The 24,778-nt window shown below is 48.6% G+C and overlaps 1 long non-coding RNA gene across 3 annotated transcripts in view, besides 4 other annotated features; it reads left to right on the top strand.

The window, feature by feature from the left end:
- The window catches only part of LINC02815 (long intergenic non-protein coding RNA 2815), a 67,626-nt gene that overhangs the window by 30,389 nt on the left and 12,459 nt on the right, over window positions 1-24,778 (top strand). Inside the window, exon 2 of one of the 3 annotated variants that reach the window (NR_186727.1) lies at window positions 1,224-1,611. The exons of the other annotated variants lie outside the window; for them this stretch is intronic. This is a non-coding gene — a long non-coding RNA (long intergenic non-protein coding RNA 2815). The remainder of the gene's footprint in view (window positions 1-1,223; window positions 1,612-24,778) is intronic. 3 annotated transcript variants of the gene reach the window in all.
- Window positions 7,430-7,929: an enhancer, noted in NCBI's record as "H3K4me1 hESC enhancer chr1:229252155-229252654 (GRCh37/hg19 assembly coordinates)". NCBI's record gives its function as "activates a minimal SCP1, AML or CMV promoter by ChIP-STARR-seq in primed H9 embryonic stem cells {active_cell/tissue: H9 hESC(primed)}" and the evidence as "EXISTENCE:reporter gene assay evidence [ECO:0000049][PMID:30033119]".
- Window positions 7,930-8,431: an enhancer, noted in NCBI's record as "H3K4me1 hESC enhancer chr1:229251653-229252154 (GRCh37/hg19 assembly coordinates)". NCBI's record gives its function as "activates a minimal SCP1, AML or CMV promoter by ChIP-STARR-seq in primed H9 embryonic stem cells {active_cell/tissue: H9 hESC(primed)}" and the evidence as "EXISTENCE:reporter gene assay evidence [ECO:0000049][PMID:30033119]".
- Window positions 15,048-15,569: an enhancer, noted in NCBI's record as "H3K4me1 hESC enhancer chr1:229244515-229245036 (GRCh37/hg19 assembly coordinates)". NCBI's record gives its function as "activates a minimal SCP1, AML or CMV promoter by ChIP-STARR-seq in naive H9 embryonic stem cells {active_cell/tissue: H9 hESC(naive)}" and the evidence as "EXISTENCE:reporter gene assay evidence [ECO:0000049][PMID:30033119]".
- Window positions 15,570-16,093: an enhancer, noted in NCBI's record as "H3K27ac-H3K4me1 hESC enhancer chr1:229243991-229244514 (GRCh37/hg19 assembly coordinates)". NCBI's record gives its function as "activates a minimal SCP1, AML or CMV promoter by ChIP-STARR-seq in naive H9 embryonic stem cells {active_cell/tissue: H9 hESC(naive)}" and the evidence as "EXISTENCE:reporter gene assay evidence [ECO:0000049][PMID:30033119]".

Here is a 24,778-nt window from a genome sequence, read left to right as displayed (position 1 = left end):
AATCTTCTCTGTGGCTTTTCACTCATCTGCAGGTCTGGATAAGCAAAGAGGAGCTTCTCGTTTCTAGGGAGTGGGCAATCTCTTTGGACTTGGACCACCAGGGGATGAACCAGCAATGCTGGGGGCTTGGGGTATAAGCAGTGGAGCAGGAAAAACAGAGACAAACAGATGGGCATTAAGGAAGGGGCAAGCAAGAAGGTAGGGAATGCAGTGGCAGCAGCCAGATGACAGGAGGCTGAGGAATGGAAAGTGAGCCTTTTGCAGAGTGCCACCTGCGGAAGCTGCTTCTGGTCTGCACAGAGGTCTGACTCTAGCAGCAAAGGGGATGCCCAGGAGACGGCAGTGCCTGAAAGAGCTCCACACAAAGGGGCAAGAACCTATTCTGGCTGCCTTGGTCCACCTGTGTGTCCTTACACATGGCATTTCCTGAGGGGCTGGAGGCTGGGTGGGTCATGTGTATGAGAAGCTCTACCTTTATTACAGCTGCTTTTCATGGAACCAAGTATTTCCCTACTTAAACTCAGGCAGGGGAAGTTGGGAACAAAGCAGGGTACCTTGGCAGGAGACCTCTCCACCCACCATGCGTGGGCCTGATAAGGACCAGGAACTCCAAGTCAGAAAAGCCCAGGCCCTTCTTAGGAGGGCTGCAAATAGGTCCTGTCCAAGCCCATTCCCTCATCTTTTTACAACCTATGAGCTCCCAAGATAGGAAGAGTGGGCCTCTACAACCAAGCCAAAGAGATTGCCTCAGGGCTCCTGTACCCCTCCCCTGGGCAGGTTTGCCTGCCCAAGGAGGAGGTGGCACTTCTGCTGTGAAGCGAGTGGGCATAGAGACTCTGCCAGGACCTGACAAGTGACCAGCCACCTCTGTCACCACAAGTGCCAACAAAAGCACAAAGGGAACATCCTCTGGGGCTCAGTGGGCGAGGAGCTGCCTGGCACAGAGCAGGTGTGCAGTAATACCTGTGACCTGAACGGATGCAGTGATGGCCGGGCTTGAGGATCAGACTCAAATCACTGGCTGAGAGGATGAGAAGGTCCGGGCCAGCTCAGGGGAGCTCAGGGCAGGTGGCCAGAGCTGGGCCACTGAGACTGGGCTTGCAGTCAGGTCTTCAGATGGAGGGGACTGGGCATGGGCAGTGCTTCAGTGCTGGAGGAGCCAGGCCGAGGGGATTATCACAATCAGCTCCTAACCCGCCTCTTGCCTTCCTTGTCCCTTCTAGCCTCTCTCTCATCGGATGGTGAAGATACTTCCCTAAAGCTCCCATCCGACCACATCATTCCTCTGCTCAGATCCTTTGATGGATGCTTGTAAGAGGAAAGATGGTTCCTGTTTATTCACCAGATAGGGTTCCAGGGGTGATGCCAAGTGCCTGATGGAAAGACGAATGTCAAGGAGCCTGCAGGCCACTCAGCAGCAAGGCAGGAATGCATCGTGGAGGCAGGACCATGACCTCTGTTGGGGAGCAGATGCTGGAGAACAGCTCCGACTCCTCCCAGCACTGATGCTGCCTTCCCACGAGCACCTGTGGATTCCTCCCAGCCTGGCTCCTGCTTTGACTGCAGGATTTGCTCCGTCTCCTCTCCAATGATGCCTCCATCTTTGCTCAGGTCTGAATTCTCATTACCCTTCCCTCCAGCCCCCAGCTCAGACATGATCTCCTTTCTGGCTTCTCCTGAGGTTTAATAGCTGTCCGTCCTCTCCCTGCCCCAGACATTTCCTGATATGACCAGGCAGAACTCCCCAGCTGCTCTTCCAGGAGAGAAGCTCTGTCAATCCATCATGATAACCTCTCAGTGTCTCGCACAGCGTGGGCTTCAATTCATATATGTGGAAATTGGGCAAAAATTGAGAAAGTCCCCGTGGAAAGAGTTGTCTGAGGAGGTGACAAAGGAAGGCTTAATATAATAGAGCTCCCCTTCCCAGGGGTTATGTTACAAGACTCCCCAGTGGATGCATGGAACCTCAGATCGTACCGAACCCTATTGTCTGAGTCTGTTCTTGTTGCTCTAAAGGAATACAGAAGGCTGGCAATTTATAAAGGAAAGTGGCTTCTTTGGCTCATGATTCTGATGGCTGGAAAATGTCAAGATCGGGCATTAGCATCTGGCAAGGACCACGGGCTGCTTCCACTCTCAGTAGAAGGTGAAGGGAGCCAGTGAGTGCAGAAGTTATGCCCGAGAGAGGAGGCAAGGGAGAGAGGGGAGGTGCCAGGCTCTTTTTAACAGCCAGCTCTCAAGGGAACTAACAGAGCAAGAACTCCCCACTCTCTCAGGGGAGGGCATTAATCTATTCCCGAGGGATTCGCCCCCATGACCCAAGCACCTCCCATTAGGCTCCACCTCCAACATTGGGGATCAAATTTCAACATGCAGTTTGCAGGACAAACATCCTAACGATAACGCCTACGGGCCTCTATGTTGCTGTTTCCTCTGCACATACATACCTAATACGAAGTTGAGTTAATAAATTGGGCACAGTAAGAGATTAACAATAACAATAAAATAGAACAATTTATGACAATATATTGTAACAAAAGTTATGTGAATGTGGTTTCTCTTTCTCTCGACATATCTGACCGCACCATACTCACCTGTCTTTGGACCATGGTTCATTCAACTGCAGACTGGGGGGTGCTGCTGTACCTTCCAGGGATATATGGGTCAGATTCACATGGAGCAGGGCCTGAGGGGTGGGAACGGAATTGGTGAAGTGAGAAAGTGTGGCGTTGGGGGCTTTACCTGTGGGGTCTGCCTATTGGATCTGGATGGTCTAGGGCTGGCTCAGCCACGAGCAGGGGCCACCTGACAGCGAGGGCCAGGTACATGGTTTCACCAGCTCATCCAGAATGTTCTCTCAGGTGCCGAGGATACCCTGGGGTCTGAGCTGCCAGGCCCAGGAGAGTCATTTCAGGTGAGGCGTCGTGTCTTGGAACGAAGTCTTGGGAATTTGAGGGGTTTATAAAAGCACATGTATAGAAAGCAGGGAGGCTCTTCTGTGGTGACCCTGAACGAGCACAGTGGGGCTCCCGTGGCTCTGAGGCGCGGCCTAGGTCTCGGGGAAGGCTCGGCGTGTGATTTCTATTAACTGGGAAGGTTTTATCAGGGTGCTTGGAGTCCCTGTAACTGACTTTGCCCAACTTTATAAATCCTTTCTCTAAATACTTCTCTGAGGTTTGGCTTGGCTTGGAGTGTGTGGGAATTAAAAACAATCCGTTTCTCCCCGTCTAGAGTGGGTTCCATTTTCCTCAGCAGCCTTCCAAAGTACCCAAGGAAAGGGGGTGTGGGTTTGTAGGGACTTAATTGGCTCACCTGACCCTTCTGGGCTACAGTTAGACTCGCATGGCTGTGAGGCGGCCTGGTCTGCACACACTGGCTGACACCGACCTCTCAAATGGAAAACCCACTCAGGCAGAGAGACCGTCTCTTTCCAAATCTGAAAACAAGCCTCTGCTATTTCTGTTTAGGATTCCCCAGGTTCTCCGCCCTCACTTCAGAAAGATTTCACTTTTCTCATCAGGACAATTTCCCTTCTTCTTCTCAGAGTGGTCTGACTGGCCCAGAAGAGGCACAGAAGCTGTAGGTTTAAAAACAGGACCCACCTTACACACACTCTGTCTCTCGAGAGGAGCCAGGCAGCTGGGACACCTGACTGAGGCAGCCGGCCATTAGCATAAGGCCTCAGACTGAGTCTGGGCCCACACTCAGGGGAGTGTTTTATCTGCTGGGTGTCATTTGTAAGAGCCCTCATTAGTTGTTCCTAGAAGGTGCGCATTGACAGGACATGGACCAGCTCATTACTACTGCCCTGGAGGCAGCACAAGCTGTTTGTCCCATGGCCTGAACCCCCACCCCATGCTTCTTTTCTCCACTGCTGTCGACGTCAACATCTATACCCCTCAGAGTGCCCCCGTGGCGCCACCAGAGTGCGAGGTAATGAGCAATGGAAAGCGTGTCTCTGGCCCATGTGAGTGCAGTAGCTTGTTGGTGGCAGTTGGCAGGCCATGGTGGCCACCCTGACCCTTCTCCTCCTAGACTTCACTCACTGCTCAGGACTGGGAGCCGAGAGCAGGAGAGAGAAGCAGGCAGGTGTCAATTGCCCAGATCTGGGTGCAGCTCTGACTTATGTACCTTGTGGCTGGAGAGGCTCCTCTTCATCTCTCAGCCTCGGTTTTTTCATCTGCAAAATGTTCAAAATTGCTGGCACATGTGGTTGTATATGAGTAAGTGTGTTCATGAGTGTGAGTGTGTGGGTGTGAGTATGTGTGTGAATGTGAACGTATGGCTGTGTGTCGTAGTCCATTCCGGCAGCTGTAATAAAATGCCTGAAACTGAGTCATTCATAAACAACGTAAATTTATTTCTCACAGTTCTGGAGGCTGGGAGTTTTGGTGTCTGGAGAGGGTCAGGGGTCTCTGATTCCAAGATGGCGCCATGTTGCTGCGGTCCCTGGAAGGGAGGTCGCTGTGTCCTCTTGTTGGGGAATGAACCCACTTCCTTCAGCCCTTTTATAAGGCCTCCAACCCCACGCAGGAGGGCTCTGTCCTGGTAACTTCATCACCTTCCTAAAGACCTCATCTCTTCATTCTGTCACATTGGCTATTAAGTTTCAATGCACCAATCTGGGTGGACACTCAGTCCCATAGCACTGTGTGAGTGTGAGAGCGTGAATATGCGTGTGGCTGAGAGTGTATACGAGGGTGTATGAGTGCGGGTGTGTGTGTGGCTGTGGGAGCGTCAGTGTGTGGTGAGAATCATTTTTTTTTTTTAAGCAGCAAAAGCAGAGATGTATTGAAAATGAAAGTACACTCCACAATGTGGGAGTGGGCTGGAGCATAGGGGCTCAAGGGCCAGTGAGAATCATTTTTGCATCTCTTTCTTGTTCTACCGTTCATGGGGCGTCCTGAGGGCAGACGTGGGATGTCTGCCTCCTTCTCCCAGAATAGAGGTAGCCAGAAGGTGGGAGTGTAGGTGGTGTCTCTGCCCACCTCTCCTGACTGCCCCAGGTCTCTCAGCCTTGAGGAGCGGCTGGCACAGCTTCCCTGACCACGTGACCTTCTCCTGCTCATTCCACCCATGCCCTTCCTCCAAGCCCCCACCCTTCTGACTCACAGGTCCTGCCAGCCACCTGGGCAGCTCCTTGGACCACTCAGCCTCCCTGACTCGCCTTTGCCTGAAATTTCTGGGGTGAAAGGGGCCTTAGGAACTTAGCCCTTGACACTGAACCTGGGCCAAAGCCCCTTCCAAGGGCTGTTCCTTCTGCGCCTGAGCACATCTGGGGTGACAGCTCATCCATTTTGACTGTTGGGCCTGGCTGCCTTGTGAGCTCTGGGTCCCCAGGAAGTCTCCACCTCTCCTCCTGGTTCTGACCAGAGGCCACTGAGCAGAGCAGGAAGATGATCTTCTCAGGACAGCCCTGTGGCTCTCTCCAATCCCTCCTGAACCTCTCCCCCGGACCTGGCACCTGATGCCACAGGCTCAGCCACCTGTGGGCTGCACTGTGCAATCTAACAGTGCTGAGCAGAAGAGACACCTGAGCTTGAAGTTGAGAGGGTCCGAGTTTAAACCCCCAACTCTGCCAGTTTCACCTGCAACCTGGGGACTGAAACCTCCTCACAAACTTCTCAAGAGGACACAGTTAAAAGGCATGTGAATGCAGTTTGTGAAGGATGAACTATTTCACAATCAGATCATAAGACACCTTTCTGACAGTGTACTTCAAATTACTTCCTGAGTGTTCCTTTTGTCTCTGCGATTTTGTTAAGTTGTAAAATTCATATTAATTTAATTGAAATTTAATATTTAAAAATAAGTTTGGCTGGGCACAGTGGCTCACATCTGTAATCCCAGCACTTTGGCAGGTCAAGGCAGGCAGATCACCTGAGGTCAGGAGTTCAAGACCAGCCTGCCCAACATGGCGAAACCCTGTCTCTACTAAAAATATAAAAAATTAGCCGGGCATGGTGGCAGCTGCTGGTAATCCCAGCTACTCGGGAGGCTGAGGCACGAGAATCGCTTGAACCTGGGAGGTGGAGCTTGCAGTGAGCCAAGATCACACCACTGCACTCCAGCCTGGGTGATTAGAGCAAAAGTCTGTCTCAAAAAAAAAAAAGTTTTCTGCTTCTTGTGTGTGCATGGAAGCTGTTGTCCTGGCCCCAGGGCGGGGGCTGGCGCACCTGGCTCCTTTCCCAGGCTGGCCTCCTCTCTCAGTCACTGCTCCCTGGGTCTCCTTGACAAGTCACGTGGCTGACGCTCTTGGTCAGCTCCCCGGAGCCGTCCCCACCCATTTCCCCACTTGCTCATTTCTCACGACAGAGGCTGAGACAGCACCTCGCCTTGCCACTGAGGATGGCACATGAAATGCAAGGCCAGTGTGCCGGGCAGTGAGGAGGACATCGGGACCCCTCTCGGCCTCCTGTCCATTCCACCTTGGAGCCTGGGGAGGAAGGATGGGAAACTGCAGAGGTGCCCACGTCACAGTTACCCAGCCAGGCCTGGGATCTTGCCAGGGATTTTAATTAAGTAAACGATGAATGTTTTCATGGCTTAAACCATGTGGGCCAAAACCAGCCTGGTTTTGCGAATTGTGTTTTATTGGCACACAGCTAGCCTTGTGCTTACATTTCACCAGTGGTGTTTTTGAGCTTCAGGGACAGGCATGAGTTGTTGTGACAGAGGCTGTGTGGCCCACAAAGCCTCAAATATTTATGTTCTAGCCCTTTGCAGAAAAAGCTTGCCATCTCCTGATTTAAATCATCGGCTAGTTGGTTTTTTGGTGACTATCAGCCAAATGCATCCTAACTGGTCCCATAACAGAAAAAGCAACCCCCAAGAGCTCAGCCAAGGAGGTGAAAATACCATCTCCAAGAACATGTGGCGAGAGAGCTTGCGCGCTGGTTGGCTTCGAGGCTCCACCATATTGTTGAGCCCCATCTTCATCCTGCATCTTTGTCATAGGCCCACTGCATGGTCGTAGGGTAAATGCCACAGTGTCAGGACCCCTTATTCTACAAGAACGTTCAGTAGAAGAAGGCGATGATTTCCTGCCAAGCATTTTTTTTTCTTTTTAAATTTAGACCAAAGAGATCTTCCTCAGATGCCTCTTGGGAGACTTCTCCCTTTCCTGTCACAGCCAACAGAGCTGGGCCACATTTCTACCCTTAAACCAGCTGCGGGCACATACAGGTCACTGGCCAGAGGGGTGGCTTCACCATAATTGCCTTGGATGAATTCAGATCCACAATTATGCATTTTACTCTTTTCCTCATGGAGAACTCTTTTATATAGAACTTACAGCCCCAGCCAGTCTAGCAACAAGGAGCAGCCTATCCACATACCATATTCTAAGTATTGACCTGGCACTAGGCTCTGTGCTGGTGACCAAGGAGTTGGAGTCCAGCTGAGTGACAGGGATGCACCCCAGAAGCCGTGGTCCTGACCACCCAGATAAGGACTGGGGATGGTTGGGGATGGGGATACAGAATCCTGGGAGGCATTATGTCTACTGCCATCTTTTTTTTTTTTTTTTTTTTTTTTTTTATCACAAAAGCCACCAAGGTGAGGATGTGGAAGAAATATCTGGGGAAGTCGGGCAAGGAGAAGGCTTCCAGTAATACCTGCAACATCAAACCCCGCCCCTCCCACCAGGCCACTGTGTGTCCTGCCTCAGTAGGAACAATAGCTGACATCCACACGGCATTTGTCATGTGTCAATGCTTTCTCAGTTCTTTGCATGTATTAGCTCATTTAATCCCCCCAATGACCCCAGATGCCAGGCATTATTACCATTCTATTTCACAGAAGAGAAACTGAGGCACAGAGAGTTTAAGTACCTCACTGAAGGACCCCACTGTTCACACTTGGGTGCCACACGTTGGCCCGGGGTCTGGTTGCAGAGGCTGTGTGTGTTCCAGTGTGATACGCGGCCTCTGCTGAGGGATGATGGACTTGAGCGCGTGCCCACAGGAATGCGGCCTGAACGCACTGCTCAGTATCCAACAACGTTACTCGTCTCCATAACACATCATTACGGATCCTGGCCGCACACACTGAGTTAGACCAAGAGCTGGGTGCGAAGCCAAAAACGTCTTCAGTCTACAGACGTGCCTTTTGTGTCTTTAATAAATCTGAGAGAAGGTTGGAATAAGAATTCAGTTCAGCAAAAGTTTATACAACATTTTCTATGTGCCAGGGCCTTCTGTTATGAGCCGAGGTTTCAAAATAAATAAGACACCATTCTGGTCCTGAGTGACCCCTCGGAGTAGTGGGGGAGTCAGACAAGCAGCAGATAACAGCAGTGAAGCAGCGGGTGCTGTGACTCGGTGATGCACCCCAGGGGCTCCAGTAGATGGGGAGGCTTCCTAGAGAGACAACGTTGATTCTGTGCCTTAAACCATGAGTGGGAATCCCATCCCCGAGAAACCTGGAAACTCCTCCAGTTTCTTCTTGCCATGCTCTCAGTCATAGGGATACTATCACCGTCATTTCTGTGTATATGGCCATATGGCTTTGCTGAGCTTTCCCATATGCAGTTCTGATTAAAGGGCATGGATCCTGCGTGGAAAGCAGCATCCTGTTATAGTGATAGACAAGGGCTCCAAGTGACTGCCCAAAAGCATGTGGTTGGTGCTCCAGTCTAAATAGACTCAGAAATCCCTGCTTTTTTTGTTTTGAGATGGAGTCTAGCTCTGTTGCCCAGGCTAGGCTAGAGTGCAGTGGCGTGATCTTGGCTCACTGCAACCTCTGCCTCGCAGGTTCAATCGATTCTCCTGCCTCAGCCTCCCGAGTAGCTGGGATTACAGGCACCCGCCACCACACCCAGCTAATTTTTGTATTTTTAGTAGAGACGAGGTTTCACTGTGCCAGGCTGGTCTCGAATTCCTGGCCTCAGGAGATCGGCCTGCCTCAGCCTCCCAAAGTGCTGAGATTACAACCGTGAGCCACCGCGCCCAGCCTATCCCTGCCTTTCAAACAAATCCTGTTGCACCACCAATGTGATGCATCTTTGCACCCCACCCCTGAGTCCCCAGCAGGGCCCCATTTATCTGCAAAACATTGACTAAGCCCCTGCTGTAAGCATGGCACTGTGTTAGGGACTGGGGATACTGTGGTCTCCCAGACAGGAAAGATTCCTGTGTGCTTCCAGGGAGGGATCAGATTTCAGGGAGCGGGATGGGGTGGAGCGGGGAGGGGGGAGCTCGGTTTGGAGGGAGGCTGGGGCAGCTCCCACTTGAGGAGTTATGGTGATCCACAGTGCCACTGACATCTGTGCACATCCAATAAAGGTGTATCAGATGGATAAATGAGCCACAATACACAGTTGGCAAAGCACTGATGAGCTAAGCCAAGTAGAATAAATACAAGGTCATTTGTCACATTCCATAGATAAAGCAGCTGTGCATCATTTCTTGCATTGAATGAGAGGAGGAAGGCGGCTTACCTTCTCTGATCTGCTTTATGTTCCCTGAAGATGAGATGGAGAATGGGTCTTTTGGGGGGACACACTCATATTGCTATGGGTCAGGTATAGGACATACAGAGATAAATTATAAGTAATCTCTTCCCTTGAGGGGCTCAGGGTCTGGTGCTGGGCGGATGAGAAAGGAATACCCACTGACATCTTCAGTGAATGTGCATTGCCTGCCTGTGGCCCCTCGGGTGCCCTAGCAGCCCAGGTACAGAGTCCCCGTCCTTATGGAGCATGCTTTCCAGGCACTAAGTAGTGGTATGGACCTTGGCCAAGCTGCCCTCACCCCTCGCCTGGATTTACTGCCTCATCTGTCACCCGGCACCGTCTGCAATTGTTCATCATAGTGTCTGTGGTGTTTCCTGTTTCTTGTCTCAACTGTACCAGGATGTAACATCCTGAGAGCATGCATCCCATCTTTCCTGTTATCATTGCATCTGAAAGTGACTGAAATGTAGCAAGAGTGCAATAAATACTTTTTAATAAGCAAATAAGTAAGAGCAAATGTAAAATTACAGCTGGTGATGAACACAATGAAGGAAATAAGCAGGATCATTGGAAGGCAAAATGGGAGGGGAGCCAGTCGGGGAAGTCTACTTGAAGGAGGTGGCATCTGAGTCAGTCCCAGAAGGACAAAGAAGAGATAAATGGCTTGAAATCTGAGGGTGATGAGCACGAAAGTGATCCAGGCAGAAAAACAACTCGATCACCTTCCTAAAGGAAGTTTCTCACCGTCAGAGGAGTGTGAAGGAGGGAATCATTTACTCTGTAGAATAGAAAGAAGGGAGGTCCCTCTCAAAGATGGCACTGGAGCTGGTCCCTGAAGGAAACATAAGATATGGCTAGAGAGGAAGGAAAAGGCATTCCTGGTGGGAGGAATGGCAGAAGCAAAGGCCTGGAGTTCTGAGTAAGAATGCCGTGTTCTAACAGCACACAGCCTGCCTGCACGATGTGGAGGGGCTGTAGAGAGTGAGTAGGAGGGATTCTCCAAAAGGTTTAACTTCTAAGTTAGATTCCTCTGCACAGGTCTGGTGGGAAGAGTTGGTGGTGACAGGCCCTCATGAGCTTTCATCTTTCTGACTCTCTGTGCCCATCACTTCCATGGATGGTTGAGCTTTGGCTGTGTCCCTGAGCTTCTGCATCCTCATCTGTAAAGCGAGGGGGATGCCAGATGGTTTCTAAGCGTGCATCCAGACCTAACACCTGTGATTCTCTCATGACCTGAGTAATATGGTTGGAAAACCAGTTACCCTAGAAAAATCCCTTAGTCTCCATGAAGCTTGTGCCACTGGATGGTTCTTGAGGGGAACTCAATGTAGGCCCCCTGTCGCAGTGTGCTTGTGATGAAAGCTCTTCCTTCTTCCTGGCTGGTCCTGATGGTGGGTGTTCTGAGACATGGCAGACAGCAAGTGCTGGGCATTCTGAGACATGCTGGGGCCTGGGGCTCTTGCCAGGCCCAGGTTTAAGTGACACAATTTCTGATGGCTTCAGAGAGGATATTTGTTAGGCCCTGCCTGCCTAATGGAATACGTCACCATTCTGCAAACAGGATAGCTGGAGCTGAAATATCTTTGGTAAGCAGTGAAAGAGATTACCTGGGTCAAGTTAAGAATAGACTGGTGGAAGGCAAGGAAAGATTGCCCCTTTGAACAATATCACCTTTGTGGGCAGACTAGAGAGCTGGAGAAACTGTATGAATGTTACCCCATGTGACCATGCAGTAAGGCCTAAGAAGTTGTTAGGGTATGTGATTTTCCCAGGTAGAGGGCATGCAATGGTCAAATAGTTTTCCTTGGCTATTCAAAACCCCCAACCAATCAATAAATTTCTGTCTTTTTCCAGGAATGTTGCACATGGTTGTGCAGTGCACAACCTGTATAACCATCCATGGAAACCAGGCTATTCCACAATTAATTTATTCCACAGGGTTTATTTAATTGCTGTGTTGTGCTAGACATGTGCTAGGCCTTGGGGATAAATGGGTGAAATGCAATGGGTCCCAGCGCTCAGGGAAAGACAGAAAGATAGCACCTCCCTATGAGGGCAGTATTGTAGGTGCTTTGATTGAGGGCTCAGGGAGGATGCTGTGGGAGAGTAGAGGAAAAGCCTGTAGCCCAGAATTGGTGGGAATGGAGGAGGAAAAGAGGACAGCTGAGTCAGGAAAGTGTACTTTAAAGAGAGCGGTGCCCATCATTTGCTACTTTCTCTTGGCCCAGAGAACTTAAGTCTTTTTTTAACTGTGCTTTTGTCCTTCGAAACTCTACCACTAAATACTCATTCTTTTTTGTATTTTTTTTAGAGACAGGATCTCACTCTGTTGCCCAGGCTAGAGTGCAGTGGTACAATCATGGCTCACTGCAGCCTCAAACTCCTGGGCTCAAGTGATCCTCCTGCCTCAGCCTCCCAAGTAGCTGGGACTACAGTCATATACCAACATGTCTGGCTAATTTCTGTATTTTTGTAGAGATTCAGGGTCCCCTGAATACTCACTCATTCTTCTAGTAGCATAGCATGGCATTATTCTTGGAAGAGAATGCCTGTCCCTGCAGATGTGGTTGGGGGAGGTGGGGTGGGGGTCACCAGGAGCAGCTCCCACCTGCTGCAGTTGTGCCTGATCAGCCAGCCCCATCTTACATCCATGTTTGGGGAATGGAGCAGTACAGTTTTTCCATCTAACTCCGGAGTCTGACTCCAGTTGCCAGGATTTTAATCTCACCCTGTTTTCTGTGGTAATCTTTGTTTAAACAATGTGTCAAAATGTTTTTTAAACCATGAAAATACTGCACAGTGGCATAGGCTCTTATCCACAGGGTACTACTGATCTGGTAACCAACCAAGACACCAATAAGTAAGCAAAGCGGCTTCCAGGAGCCAGAGCAATTATTATTATCTCTAGGCAGTGACATGAAGACATCCCACTCAGAGGGGCCACGAAGCCCACACTCATGAATGTGTTTACTCCTCACAGAAAATCCCACACTGGAGGCTGGGTTAGGTGGCTCACGCCTAACTCTCAATCTCAGGAGGATTACCTGAGCCCAGGAGTTTGAGACCAGCCTGGTCAACATAGCAAGACCCCGTCTGTAAAAGAAAAAAATAGCTGGGTGTTGTGGCATGCACCTGTAGTCCCAGCTACTCCGGAGGCTGAGGTAGGAGGATCCCTTGAACCCAGGAGGTTGAGGCTGCCGTGAGCTGAGATTGCACCACTGTACTACAGCCTGGGTAACAGGGTAAGTAAGACTCTGTCTGAAAAAACAAAACAAAATGAAACAAAAACAAAAACAAAATCCCACACTGAGTTGTTGGAATTAAACCCAAGAAATGCATGTGACTGAACTAATCATTCTTCCCCAGACCTGCCTCTCTCAGAGACTGACATCTTCTCCACACCTCCACCCTTCATCCTTCCCCATGTCATGTCGATTACAGCCTTCACATGGAAACCAGCCCCATGTCTACTCCCTACAGCACCCCTCTCTCCACTAAGTCACCATGACAGTGACTTTCCCCTCCACCAAGCACTGTGCAGCCTGATAGGGCTTTCTTTCTTTGTTTTTGTTTTTGAGACAGGGTCTCCCTCTGTCACCCAGGCTGGAGTGCAGTGGTGCTATCATAACTCACTGCAGCTTCCAGCTCCTGGGCTCAAGCCATCCTCTTGCCTTAGTCTCCTGAGTAGTTGGGACTACAGGCATGCACCCTCATGCCTGGCTAATTTTAAAAAATTTCTTTGTAGAGATAGTCATGCTATGTTGCCCAGGCTGGTCCTGGCCTCCTGGCCTCAAGTGATTCTCCTACCCCAGCCTCAGGTAAGCCACCTCACCTGGCCCTGATGGGGCTTTCTAAATTGCAAATCTGATCAATTGTTTAAATATATCATACAACGGTTCCTCACTATCCTGAAGATAAAATCCAAATTTCTTCACATGGCTGTACAGGGCCTCCAGCGATCAGGCCTTTGTTTGGCCTGATCTCCAATCTCTTCTCAAATAGTTGCTTCTTACAGCTCTCTGAAGGCATCAGCTCTGTGCATCCCCAAATTTTTGCATGTGCTGCTCCTGGGCTTATATCGTGTGTGCCAGTTGGCAACTCTCTTTTTCCTTTAGGGCTCAGCTGGGAGGCGGCTTCTTTGGGAAGCTTACCCGTCCCTTGCCCAGCTGGGTAAGGTGCTCTAATGTAAGTGCTCCCGTGGCATATTGGGATAATCTCTATGAGGCACTTACCTCTGAGGGCTGTGATTCTTCACTGGGTCTTTTAGCTGCTGAGAGCATGGCTCAGTCTTATTGATCAAATTTGTAGAGCATAACACACAGAAGACATTCAATCAATACATATTAAATGAATGAAGAGATGAGTTTGAATTCCCATGGAAAATGAGAAGAAATACATTCTTAGGGTTTGGGAAGTCTTAGGGTTTGGGAAGTCAAATATGCTGTTAATTAATTAGGAATATTTTTAGCTTAGGTTGACATGAAGCCTCCAGTAGTGGTGGCTTGGGAAAGAACTTAGTTTTTCGTTTTTGTGCAACTCTCGTGGCCTATAACTGCAGAAGCAGTGAGGTCCCAGTGATACTGGAAGAGGAGCCATCTTCCAGAAGCTACGCCTATGGTCTGTTTTGTGTTTAGCCTTCCTGAAAATTCTATGGGTTGTCTAGACCTCTTAATAAATTACTCTTTCTGCTTTAACTAGCTAGTATTGATTCCAGCTGCCTGCAGCCAAGAACTCTGGTAAATACAAACCTTTGTCTGACTCTCACAAAAATCTCAAAGCAATAGTAATGCCTAGTTTTGTGGAAGTAACCACGAAAGCTTAGAAAAGGTGGGTTGGGAAGCAGTTGAGATGCTGAAAGCTGATTTCCAGGAGCAGAACTGGCCTATGCTGAAAACCTACCTGCAGCCTCAACTCTGCTTCTCTCCTGTGTTCAGCTGCTGAATGTTGAAGCCGGAAGGGATAACACGTTTCCGAGTGGAAATGTATGCATTTGATGGAGAGTGCCTGAGGTGCCCAGATTGCACGGCTTCTTTTTTTTTTTTTCTAGAGACAGGGTCTTGCTCTGTCACCCAGGCTGGCATGCAGTGGCGTGATCATAGCTCGCTATAAACTACAACTCCTGGGCTCAAGAGATCCTCCTGCCTCAGCCTCCCAAAAGTGCCGGGATTAGAAGTGTGAGCCACTGTGCCTGGCCCCAGACAGCTTCCTAGCAGCTGAAGTGGGAGGTCAGGGTTATTTCTGTCACTCCGCACTGCCAAGGGCTGACAGAACAAAGAAACAAAGAGGAACTGGAAAGGCTGATCATGGGGCCGAACCATGTCTAACTGGCTTAAATAACAAATCTGTGTAACCACAATTTGCCAACTTGTAAATGTTTTATACCCCAAGGGAGCCTGGAACAGCCTCCTTTGCACTTAGAAGGCCCAGCCAGGCCAGTGCTGACTCTGACTCCTTGGTGGACAGGACCCCAGGGGGTGGGAGGTCAGGGCCAGGCTGGCCAGAGACTGGGCGTCAAACCCGAGAAAGGGTCACACTTTTTTGCTTGTCAGTTTCCCAGCCTTTTCCATTACAGCATTTTTACCTGGGAGGTTTAATGAGCTCTCTTGAGTTTTCCCCTTCCATGGGCTTAACTTAAAATGTCAGTGTCTTAAGAATTTTCCCAGTAGTGGGCCTGGTGCCTTTGGAGGCTGCATTTCCTTTCTCAGGCGTTGGGGGACTGCTGGGTTCTGGGAAGGACTGACAGGTTGAATAGCCCAGTTATTACTGGGTTAAGGGTGACGCAGGCTTCTCAGGGTGCCAGAGTCACTGAAGCAGCAGCAGCAGCTTCCGGGCAGGGCTGTGCAATTCAGGCTGCCTGGGGAAAGGTGCTGTGAGGGATGAGGGGCAAGAACAGCTTTAAAAGTTAATGAGCTCAGCTGAGCTCCCAAGACCCACCCTTCCAGGCGGCTCCGCTTCTCTTTGCATTTCCTTGCCCTCTGAGCACCCAGCTAACCTTTAACCCAGGCTCTTCCAAAGCTCTAGGGAGGAGGCTGCTCCCCTGGCTTCCTCCAGAGCGAGTCTCTGCTCCACGCTCTGGACATTGCTCTGGGAAACCTCCGCTTCCCAGACCAGCCACATCATGGACACGCTTGGAGGGGAGCTCAGTGTTGTTTCCTGCTATTGGTGAGGGCTGGTGCTGGTGTGCACTGTGCAGGCATCAGGACTGGTCATCACTGTCCTTACAACCCCCTGCCTGCCATCCTTCGCCCCCTAGTTTGATCAGAGTGCATCTCCACTGCAGGTCTGTGCAGGGTGGGGCTGGGTGCTTCCCTCAGCCTCCCCTTGCCCCAGGGCCTGCCTCTAACCTCAGTCTGCCTTGTGGACTGCTAGACCATGAACAGCCCCGGAGGCTGGTCCCAGCTTTGGCTTGGGGAGCACTGAGTGTGGATCTCCAGCCTGTGTGGCCTCAGGGCCACATCTGCCAACATTCTCTTTCTTTTCTTTCTTCCTCTTCCTTCCTTTTCTTTCTTTTCTTTGACAGGGTCTTACTCTGGTGCCCAGAGAGGGGAGTACAGTGGTGTCATCATAGCTCAGGACAGCCTCAAACGTGGGGACTCACACAATCCTCCTGCCCTAGCCTCACTAGTATCTGGGACTACAGGTGTGCACCAGTGGACTCTTTTAATTTTTTACCTTTTTAGTAGAGATGGGGTCTTGCTATGTTGCCCAGGCTGGTCTTGAACTCCTGGCCTCAAGCATCTTCCCCTTGGCCTCCCAAAGTGCTGGGGTTACAGAAGTGAGCCACCATGCCCCACCAACATTCTCTTTCTTGATCCCTGAGTCCAGTAGCAGGAAGGGAGGGGGTGAGGGAAGGTTTAAGCATCACTGGGAGCTTTTCCGAAAAATCTCATGTTGTCCTTCTCTCTGGAGAGTATTTGAAAGGGGCCACAGTGGCTGAGAAACGTTGGACTATATTACTATTTCCAATCTTCTGATCGTCTATGAGAATTCCTTCGGTAAGATTTGTTAAGAATTCAGATCCTGGGCTCCTTCTCAGACATACTCGGTTGAAAGCCCTGAGGCAGGACCTAGGAATCTGCATTCTAATAGTCTCCTGGGCTGTCTTCATACTCAGCAGGTTTGAGGCCACTGAGTAAGGGGTTCTTGCAGTCCTCTAGTCCCTTGTCACAGCTCTGGAAGCAGGACGCTCCAGGTTTGGGTGGTGTTCGGGCCCCTTTTTCAGGCAGCCCTTCAGAAATTCGCAGTGAGTGTCCTGCGTCTCCCCTGGCCTGGGAAGGTCTCCTGCCAAGTCAATTCCTGCAGCACAGAGGGAAAGGGTGCCCTTGTCTGATTAGAAACAGACACAGCTGTGCTGTATTCTGTAGCAGGGGAGAGGAGGAAGGGTGATGGAATAACGCCACACCCTGTAGACACGTAATCCAAAATGAACATTCCCTTTGCTTGTTCCCAGTGGGGAATAAGAGATCCCATTGCACTCCTTACCCATTGCCCTGGCCACTTCCCTTCAATGCAACAGACTCAGATGTCCAGAGCTGTGGAGAGTTCTTTCTAAAGGTAGAATAACTGCTTTGTCCAACTCCCCAATCCCTCTCCTCTGAGCAGATGACTTTCAGATACCTGAGAGATAAGTTGTAGTTTGGCTTCAGAATGTTGATAAAGGAGAGGAGCGTTCTCTTCAAGAGCAAACACCCTGAGGTTTGGGCAAAACCTCGGGGTATTGGGCAATGAGAGTGATCAAATGATACAATTTCATTATCTTTGCCCGTCTGCATGGATCTATTGGCTTTGGGAGGCCAAGAAGAAGAGTTTCAAAAGAATAGTTTTAAAAAAATCATCAAACAGCCAATTCACAGCTGTGTCCTGGATGGTAGACCAGGTGGTAAAAGAAAAAAAAAAAAACCTGCCGAGATCAAATTTAAAATGGAATGAGTTTCGTTTTACAGTGAGAAAGAGATGAGCAGCCAACACCCAGGGACTGGCCTGGTCCCAGGCACCCAGCCATCATACTGCCTCCAGATCACTGGGTTCTCTCCTGTTGAACAGTGTCTGAAATGTAGACAAAGCAAAGGCATCTTATCACATGGAGGAAACTGAGTGAGGCTGAAACTGCACCCTATTTACACTTGCCATCATTCGTGAACATCTAGGGAAAGTAAGACACAGACTCATGTGTGGGGGCTGGGAAGAGATGTGAGTATGTAAGTGGGGGCGGTTCGGGGTGAGCGACTGCACAAAACTAGTTTGGAAAGTGACCAATTAGAAAACCAGTTTTTCTCCCATAACCTCAGGAGATGGTTGTTTAATTCAGCTTTCTAATTATAATCCAAATATTCCCAGGTATCACCAGCCTGAAGGTCCAGAAAAACTATCCACATCAACACTCATTTGGAGGGTTCTGACCCCCGCTCAGTGTCCTCCCATCGCTGTCTCAGGTGTACTCACCCGAATTCACATCATCCAGACACTGCTGCTTTTCCCCCAGGAACTGCTGGGTGCCCATGTCCAGGGCAGACGATCGGCAGCCACACTCTGGCATGGACGTACCAGCTGTTTACAGCTGCGTACGTTAGTTACAGCTGCTTAGTGCTGGCTTTAACGTCATACTGGGCATTAAATATTTTGAATACAACCCTGCCCCTGTCCACAATCTGCTGGAGGTAGAAGATGAGGGACAGGCTCTCCACCAACTGTAGGTTCATTTGGTCTTGTGGGCCCAGAAACAGCATTGTTTGAACTCCAACCTCACAAAGTCCCTCCCGAGAACCCCACAGGCTGGACTGAAGGCTTCATACTCCTTGCTTCATTCACCTCCTGTCCTTGAGCCACACTGGGACACAGGCACAAAGTCCCCTCCATTTCCCATTGCCCTGAGCCTCCTAAACTGTTCCTGCTTCTCTTTCAGGTGAAATCTAGAAATGCCTAAGTGGATCAGCTGTGCAAATAAATCTTTCTGGGCTCCCCAGTCCCCTATTTGGTGGTCATGTAGGCTCAGCTGGGACCACCATGCTCCATAATCAAGGAGACAGACAAAACGTTCAGCACTGAATACTCCACAATAAGAGTTTGCGGGAAAAGGAAATGAATAAATCAAGCAATTGTGTTAAAAATTGCAGAGGGCAAGCCACAGATTCTAAACTTGGACCATCTGAATGCAATTCCTTGATCTGCCACTTCCAGCTTGAGTGTGTTACGTGTTTTCTGAGCCCCAGTTTCATCATGGGAAAAATGGGGACAATAGCAGTACCTCCTTGTTAAGAGTTGTTGTGAGAGTCAAACACAATAATCTAAGTCTAGGGTTTGTTGTAGGGCCCGTTGTATGCTAAGTGCTCCATAAATGTTGACTATGATCATTATTATAAATAATCAATCCACATGTTTAGGAAGAAGACATATGCAGAGATGGTGGGAGAAATGGAAAAGATGATTTGCTTTAAATTAAATCTGGCCAGAGATGGCAGGATACCAGGGTGCTATGTGTTCAAAAAGCCAAATTAAACACGGCTCACAGCTCCCTGACCCTCGCCCTCCGTTGGCCAGGTTTCTTGCTGTGTCAGAAGGTGGGGAGGAGGCAGAGCAAAGGAGGCTGCAGCTGGGCTGTTGAACTTGGCCCTCCTAGTAGCCTTAGCCTTAGCAAGTGAGGCCAAGGCTTTTTTGTCCTACCAAACAGTCAGCCTTGTTTTTCTTGAATGGTGATTGGCCAGGAGTCTCTCAATTTGGCTGCACATTTCTGTTTCTGTGGGTTTGGGTTGAGGATCAACAGTCACATTTCCACTTGCATTAATAAATTTAGGTAGACCCAGCCATCTGGAAAAAACCTTGAGATCATCTCCAAGCTGATGAGATGCTAATGGTGGCAAGAAAACTGGAAAAAGCAAAAATAAAAACATCAGCTCAGCTGATGAATTTGAGTTTCACTCTTTTCTTTCTACATATATTCTCCAGCAGAGGTGTTCATTGTCAGGAAACTGACTGCAGATACCACAGACTGGGTGGCTTAAATCACAAACGTTTACTCTCACAGTTCTGGAGGCTGCAAAATCCAAGATCAAGGCACTGGCAAATCCGGTGTCTGGTGAGGGCTGGCCTCTTAGTTCACAGACAGCACCTTCTTGCTGTGTCCTCACATGGTGAAGAGAAAGTCATGTCTCTCATGCCTTTTCTTTTGTTTTTTTGAGACAGGGTCTTGCCCTGGCATGGGCATACCAGCTCTGTGACCCATGCTGGAGTACAATGGCATGATCACAGCTCACTGCAGTCTCAACCTCCTTGGCTCAAGTAATCTTCCCATCTCAGACTCCTGAGTGGCTGGGACTACAGTCATGGGCCACCACACTGGCTAATTTTTGCTTTTTGTAGTGGTGAGGTTTCACCACATTGCCCAGGCTGATCTTGAACTCCTGAGCTCAAGCTGTCTGCCTGCCTCGGTATCCCAAACTGTTGGGATTGCAGAAGTGAGCCACTGTGCCCAGCCTCATGTCTTTTCTTAAAAGGGCACAAATCCCATCATGAGGGCTCCACCCTCATGACCTAATCATCTCCCCAAGGCCCCATTTCCTAATACTATCACATTGGGGTTTAGATTTCAAGGTTTGAATTTTACAGGGACACAAACATTCAGTCCCTGACATCAACTATTGTAGTATTGATATCTATCCATTTACTTGACTAGATCTCTGATCACTGCACCAGCATCATCCAGAAGTGTCTTCTGGGGTCCGGATGTGGTGGCTCACACCTGTAATCCCAGCACTTTGGGAGGCCTAGGCAAGGGGATCACTTGAGGTCAGGAGTTCAAGACCAACCTGGCCAATATGGTGAAACCCCGTCTCTACTAAAAATACAAATATTAGCCGGGTGTGGTGGTGGGCGCCTGTAATCCCAGCTATTCGGGAGGCTGAGGCAGGAGAATCACTTGAACCCAGGAGGCAGAGGTTGCAGTGAGCTGAGGTCGCACCACTACACTCCAGCCTGGGCAACAGGGCGAGGCTCCATCTTAAAAACAAACAAACAATAAACAAAAGTATCTCCTGGTGTATGGAGCCTGAGAATCAGAAGACCTGGTCTTGATTCTTGAAATCATGCTCATGGCAAAGTGTCATTGTCCTGTGTCATCTCTAAGACCATAAGAAATTTGAGGGCAGGACCCTCACCTTGTACTTTTTCGTATTCTGCATAAATGCTTAACAGGTATTTGCTGATTAACTGATCTCCTAAATTAACTATTTTTAGACCACAAACCCATCTAAATGTCTTCCTCTGTTCCATTTTTAAGACACAAGCCCGTGCTTTACTATAAGTTTTACGTGATATGCAACAAGTGAAGATAATAGAAAATATGTACCTATTACCATAGTAAACAATAATTGGTCAACAAATTCACATTTCTTCCAGTGAAACTGAGGGAAAATAGATAATTACCTCTCCAATCAGCTTAGACAGTTTTCTAAATAGCAACTGGCCATTTAAAAGGACTCTTCACTTAAGAATATCAGAACATAAAGTTCTGTAGGCTTAAATAGCAATTCTGAGGTTTACAGAGGAGGCCTGATAGCTGGAATTGAGAAATCCTTGGACAACAAATGATCTCAATGTTATTCCAGTTTTAACTGAAACACTCTTTTGCTAATAAAATGCTAATGTGGTTATGGAAAGTAAGCTTTTTTAATGGAAACTCATGTTTGGTACCTTTGCTTACATGGAGTACATTTGTTATTAATTACTCATTTTTTTTCAAAGCCAAGTCTAATGGGTGATTACAACACAAAAAATTGGCAAGGTCAAAAATAGTTCAGCAGTTATTTGTTTAAGAAACATTAATTGAGCAGTGTTTGGGTAGCAGGCAGTGTGCGGGGTGCTGGGAGGTGGTGTGGTAGGAATATACAATGCCCCGCCCCCCAGCCCCATTTTATCCAGGGGTCATGGGCAGTGGGTGCAAATTATGGTTTCATGTGGACATGCAGCTGGACCAGAGCTGATCCTGTAGGTGGTGCTGTGCTCTCTCCCTCAGCATTTGTCCCTGGAGGGTCTCTGAAAGTCCAGGTCAGCCCCTGGGCTGGGTCCCCACAGTAAGAAGAGAACTGTGATGGGCAACACCCCAGAAAAGAAGACTTGCAGCCTCACTTCAGGTCAATTTGCAAGAACTGACATCACACAGCAGGTATTCGAAGATGCTGCTGACCCAGGTGGATGATACAGGGCACTGGGGTTGGAGGAAGGTGAGCGGGGAGGGGAGAAGGCCCTATATGATACACCACAGACATACATTCCTGGGTGATAAATGGCAGCCTCTGACCTGTCTTTAGGCTGTCAAGGAGATGATGAAGCTTGGGATGGGGTGGAGAGAGGCAGTGCTCTGGGAGAAAGACTGACATTTTCCTGGGGGAATTGGGGTGGCAGTAGGGGAAGAGAAAGTATCTCTTGGGTGAGAAATCAATGGTCCATTTCCAACACTGGACTGTAATGTCCTTCTAATCAGTACTCCGTCTATCTGATTCCATAATGGCATTGAAGGGGTGGGGACACCATCTCATCTTTTAGGGAGGAAATGATGGTCTAGAGAAATCAATGATTTCCCAAGGTCTCTCTTAAGAGACCCATAGTAGTACTGGGATTTTAACCTTTGGCTCTGTTTGGGTACAAATAACGAGAGTGAGAATAGAAATCTAATATAATCATCCAAACCTGTCATCAAAGCTACTTTCAGCAGACTGAGTGATTCATTAAAAACAAAACCAACCAACCAACCAAAAAATGAGGTACAGAGATGTGCTGAGCTGGTGCAGGGGAGGAGATCCATAAAAGCCTGAGGAACGATCCTTGCCCCTGAGGACATGAGCCAGAAACCCAGGTGAAAGGCAGCCCCCAACACAGGTGTTAAACCAGCTAGCTCCAGTCCAAGGTGGAAAAGAGCAGGCATTCTGGGGTGATACAAAAATTGAAATACGGGAGTCTCTGGACCATGTCCCCATGCCATAACTCTTGTGCACTTCCAAGCCCTCTTTCTTACTAACACCAAGGAAATAATGAACATGTCACTACCTTGCTTAGATATTTCCGATGGTCCCATCATCAATAACAAAAGTTGCTCCTTTGCATGGGAACATGCCTTTTGTAATTTACACCCTGCTTTCCTCGCCAGCTTGGTTTCTTCAGACCGTCCAGCTTGCTGCGTCTTGCCCAGTCACGTGGAGCTAATAAAGATACGCTGTTCCACACCTCTGTGCCTCTCCACATGTGGTTCCTTTTGCCTGGAGTGCCAACCCTTTCTGCCTGCTGTCCACCTATCAAACTTCCACTCATCCTTTACAAACGAGCATAAGCATCAGCGCTTTGGGGGTGTGAGAAAATACCCAATGTGTAAGTAGAAATGGAATTTAAAAAAAAATCAGCTCAGAAAGAGTCAAATACATGCCTTTTATGGGCTTTTTGTGAAATGCAAGAGGAATCCAAGGTTTCTTTAATGAATGCATAAGCCAAATGACACACAAGTAATACAGAAAAATAAGTTCTAGGAAAAAATGAGGCCAAAGTATTTGGGGCAATTTAAGGAATCCAGAGCTGAGCTTGCTCTCTCTTCCCAGGTGTGTTCCATGCAGTATAATTGCCTTTCCTTGCCTTGGGGAATGACAGTAACCTATGATCAGAAGATGAACAGGCCACCCCAGCCTGAGGGGGAGATTTCACACTGGAAAATCTTGCCGAGGTGGCTTGTGGAAGATGAGTTGAGTTGTAGATAAGCAGATAGACGGGAATGGAGAGGGATAACTTGGGAGAAAGGCAATAGCAGTGGTGTAGAGGGAGGAAAGTGAATCTGGCAGGGGGCTATTCCTGCATCCTGAAGGTGCCCACTTACATATGGTGACAATATATGTGCTGTATTGGATATATTATATATCCATAAGCATACACAAACACATCATAGAGCCCGGCTTCTGAATCTGGGAATATACTCACTATAATAGCTATATTTGGCTGGGTACAGTGGCTCACGCCTGTAATCCCAGCATTTTGGGAGGCCGAGGCGAGTGGATCATGAGGTCATGAGTTCAAGACCAGCCTGGCCAAGATCGTGAAACTATCTCTACTGAAAAAAAAAATACAAAAATTAGCTGGGCGTGGTGGTGGGTGCCTGTAATTCCAGCTACAGGAAGGCTGAGGCAGAGAATTGCTTGAATCCAGGAGGCGGAGGTTGCAGTGAGCCTAGATTATGCCACTGCACTCTAGCCTCGGTGACAGAGCGAGACTCTGTCTCAAAAAAAAAAAAAGCTATAGTCTGTGTGTGTGTGTGTGTGTGTGTCAGTCATATAGTCACTATATATATTCACTGTAGCAAGTATACAGTGTGTGTACATATATCCACACACATATTTTAGGATCTGGGAATATAATCACTATAGTATCTACACTATATGTGTGTGTATATATATATAAAATATATATATATACAGCATATATATTTAGTCACTTTCTATATATATTCACTCTAGTGAATGCTCTGCTGAAAGTTCTGTACAGTTCTTGTAAAGAAAATGAATTCTGGCCCAGCGCGGTGGCCCACGCCTGTAATCCCAGCACTTTGGGAGGCCAAGGTGGGCGGATCAGGAGGTCAGGAGATGGAGACCATCCTGGCTAACACAGTGAAACCCCGTTTCTACTAAAAATACAAAAAATTAGCCAGTTGTGGTGGCACACGCCTGTAATCCCAGCTACTCGGGAGGCTGAGGCAGGAGAATCGCTTGAACCCAGGAAGCAGGGGTTGCAGTGAGCCGACATTGCGCCACTGCATTCCAGCCTGGGCGACAGAGTGAAATTCTGTCTCAAAAAACTAAAAAAAGAAAAAGAAAAAAAAAGAAAAGAAAATGAATTACTTCAGATCCTGCGACGAGTCTTTCAGACCTTCAGGGGTTTTCGGATCAAGGGAGGCCACCCTGCATTATTAGTTAAGGGCTTTAGGCAGGCACTTGTGCCAACCTGGTCATAAGTAGAAACATCAACATGGCTTCTAAAGTGTCCTAGATCACCCAGATGATCATGATAAGTTTATTTTGAATTTTTAGAATATTGCAATGAAAACAAAATAATATTAAAATTATGATTAGCTAGCACACTTTTAGGAATACGCAGTGCCCCAGACCCACTTTGGGAAATGAAGAAATTCTGGTCCGGGAGAGTTGCAAAGTTCCTTTTAGGGAGGAAAGATTTCTTGGGTTCGTGAAACATCTTAATGGCATTTTTTTTTTTTTGAGACAGTGTCTCACTCTGTCAACCAGGCTGGAGTGCAGTGGTACTATCATTGCTCACTGAAGCCTCAAACTCCTGGTCTTA

The sequence above is a fragment of the Homo sapiens genome, chromosome 1, assembly GCF_000001405.40.
Source record: "Homo sapiens chromosome 1, GRCh38.p14 Primary Assembly".
Taxonomy (NCBI): domain Eukaryota; kingdom Metazoa; phylum Chordata; class Mammalia; order Primates; family Hominidae; genus Homo; species Homo sapiens.
Note: the sequence above shows the minus strand (reverse complement) of the source record. Positions and strands in the feature narration are given on the sequence as shown.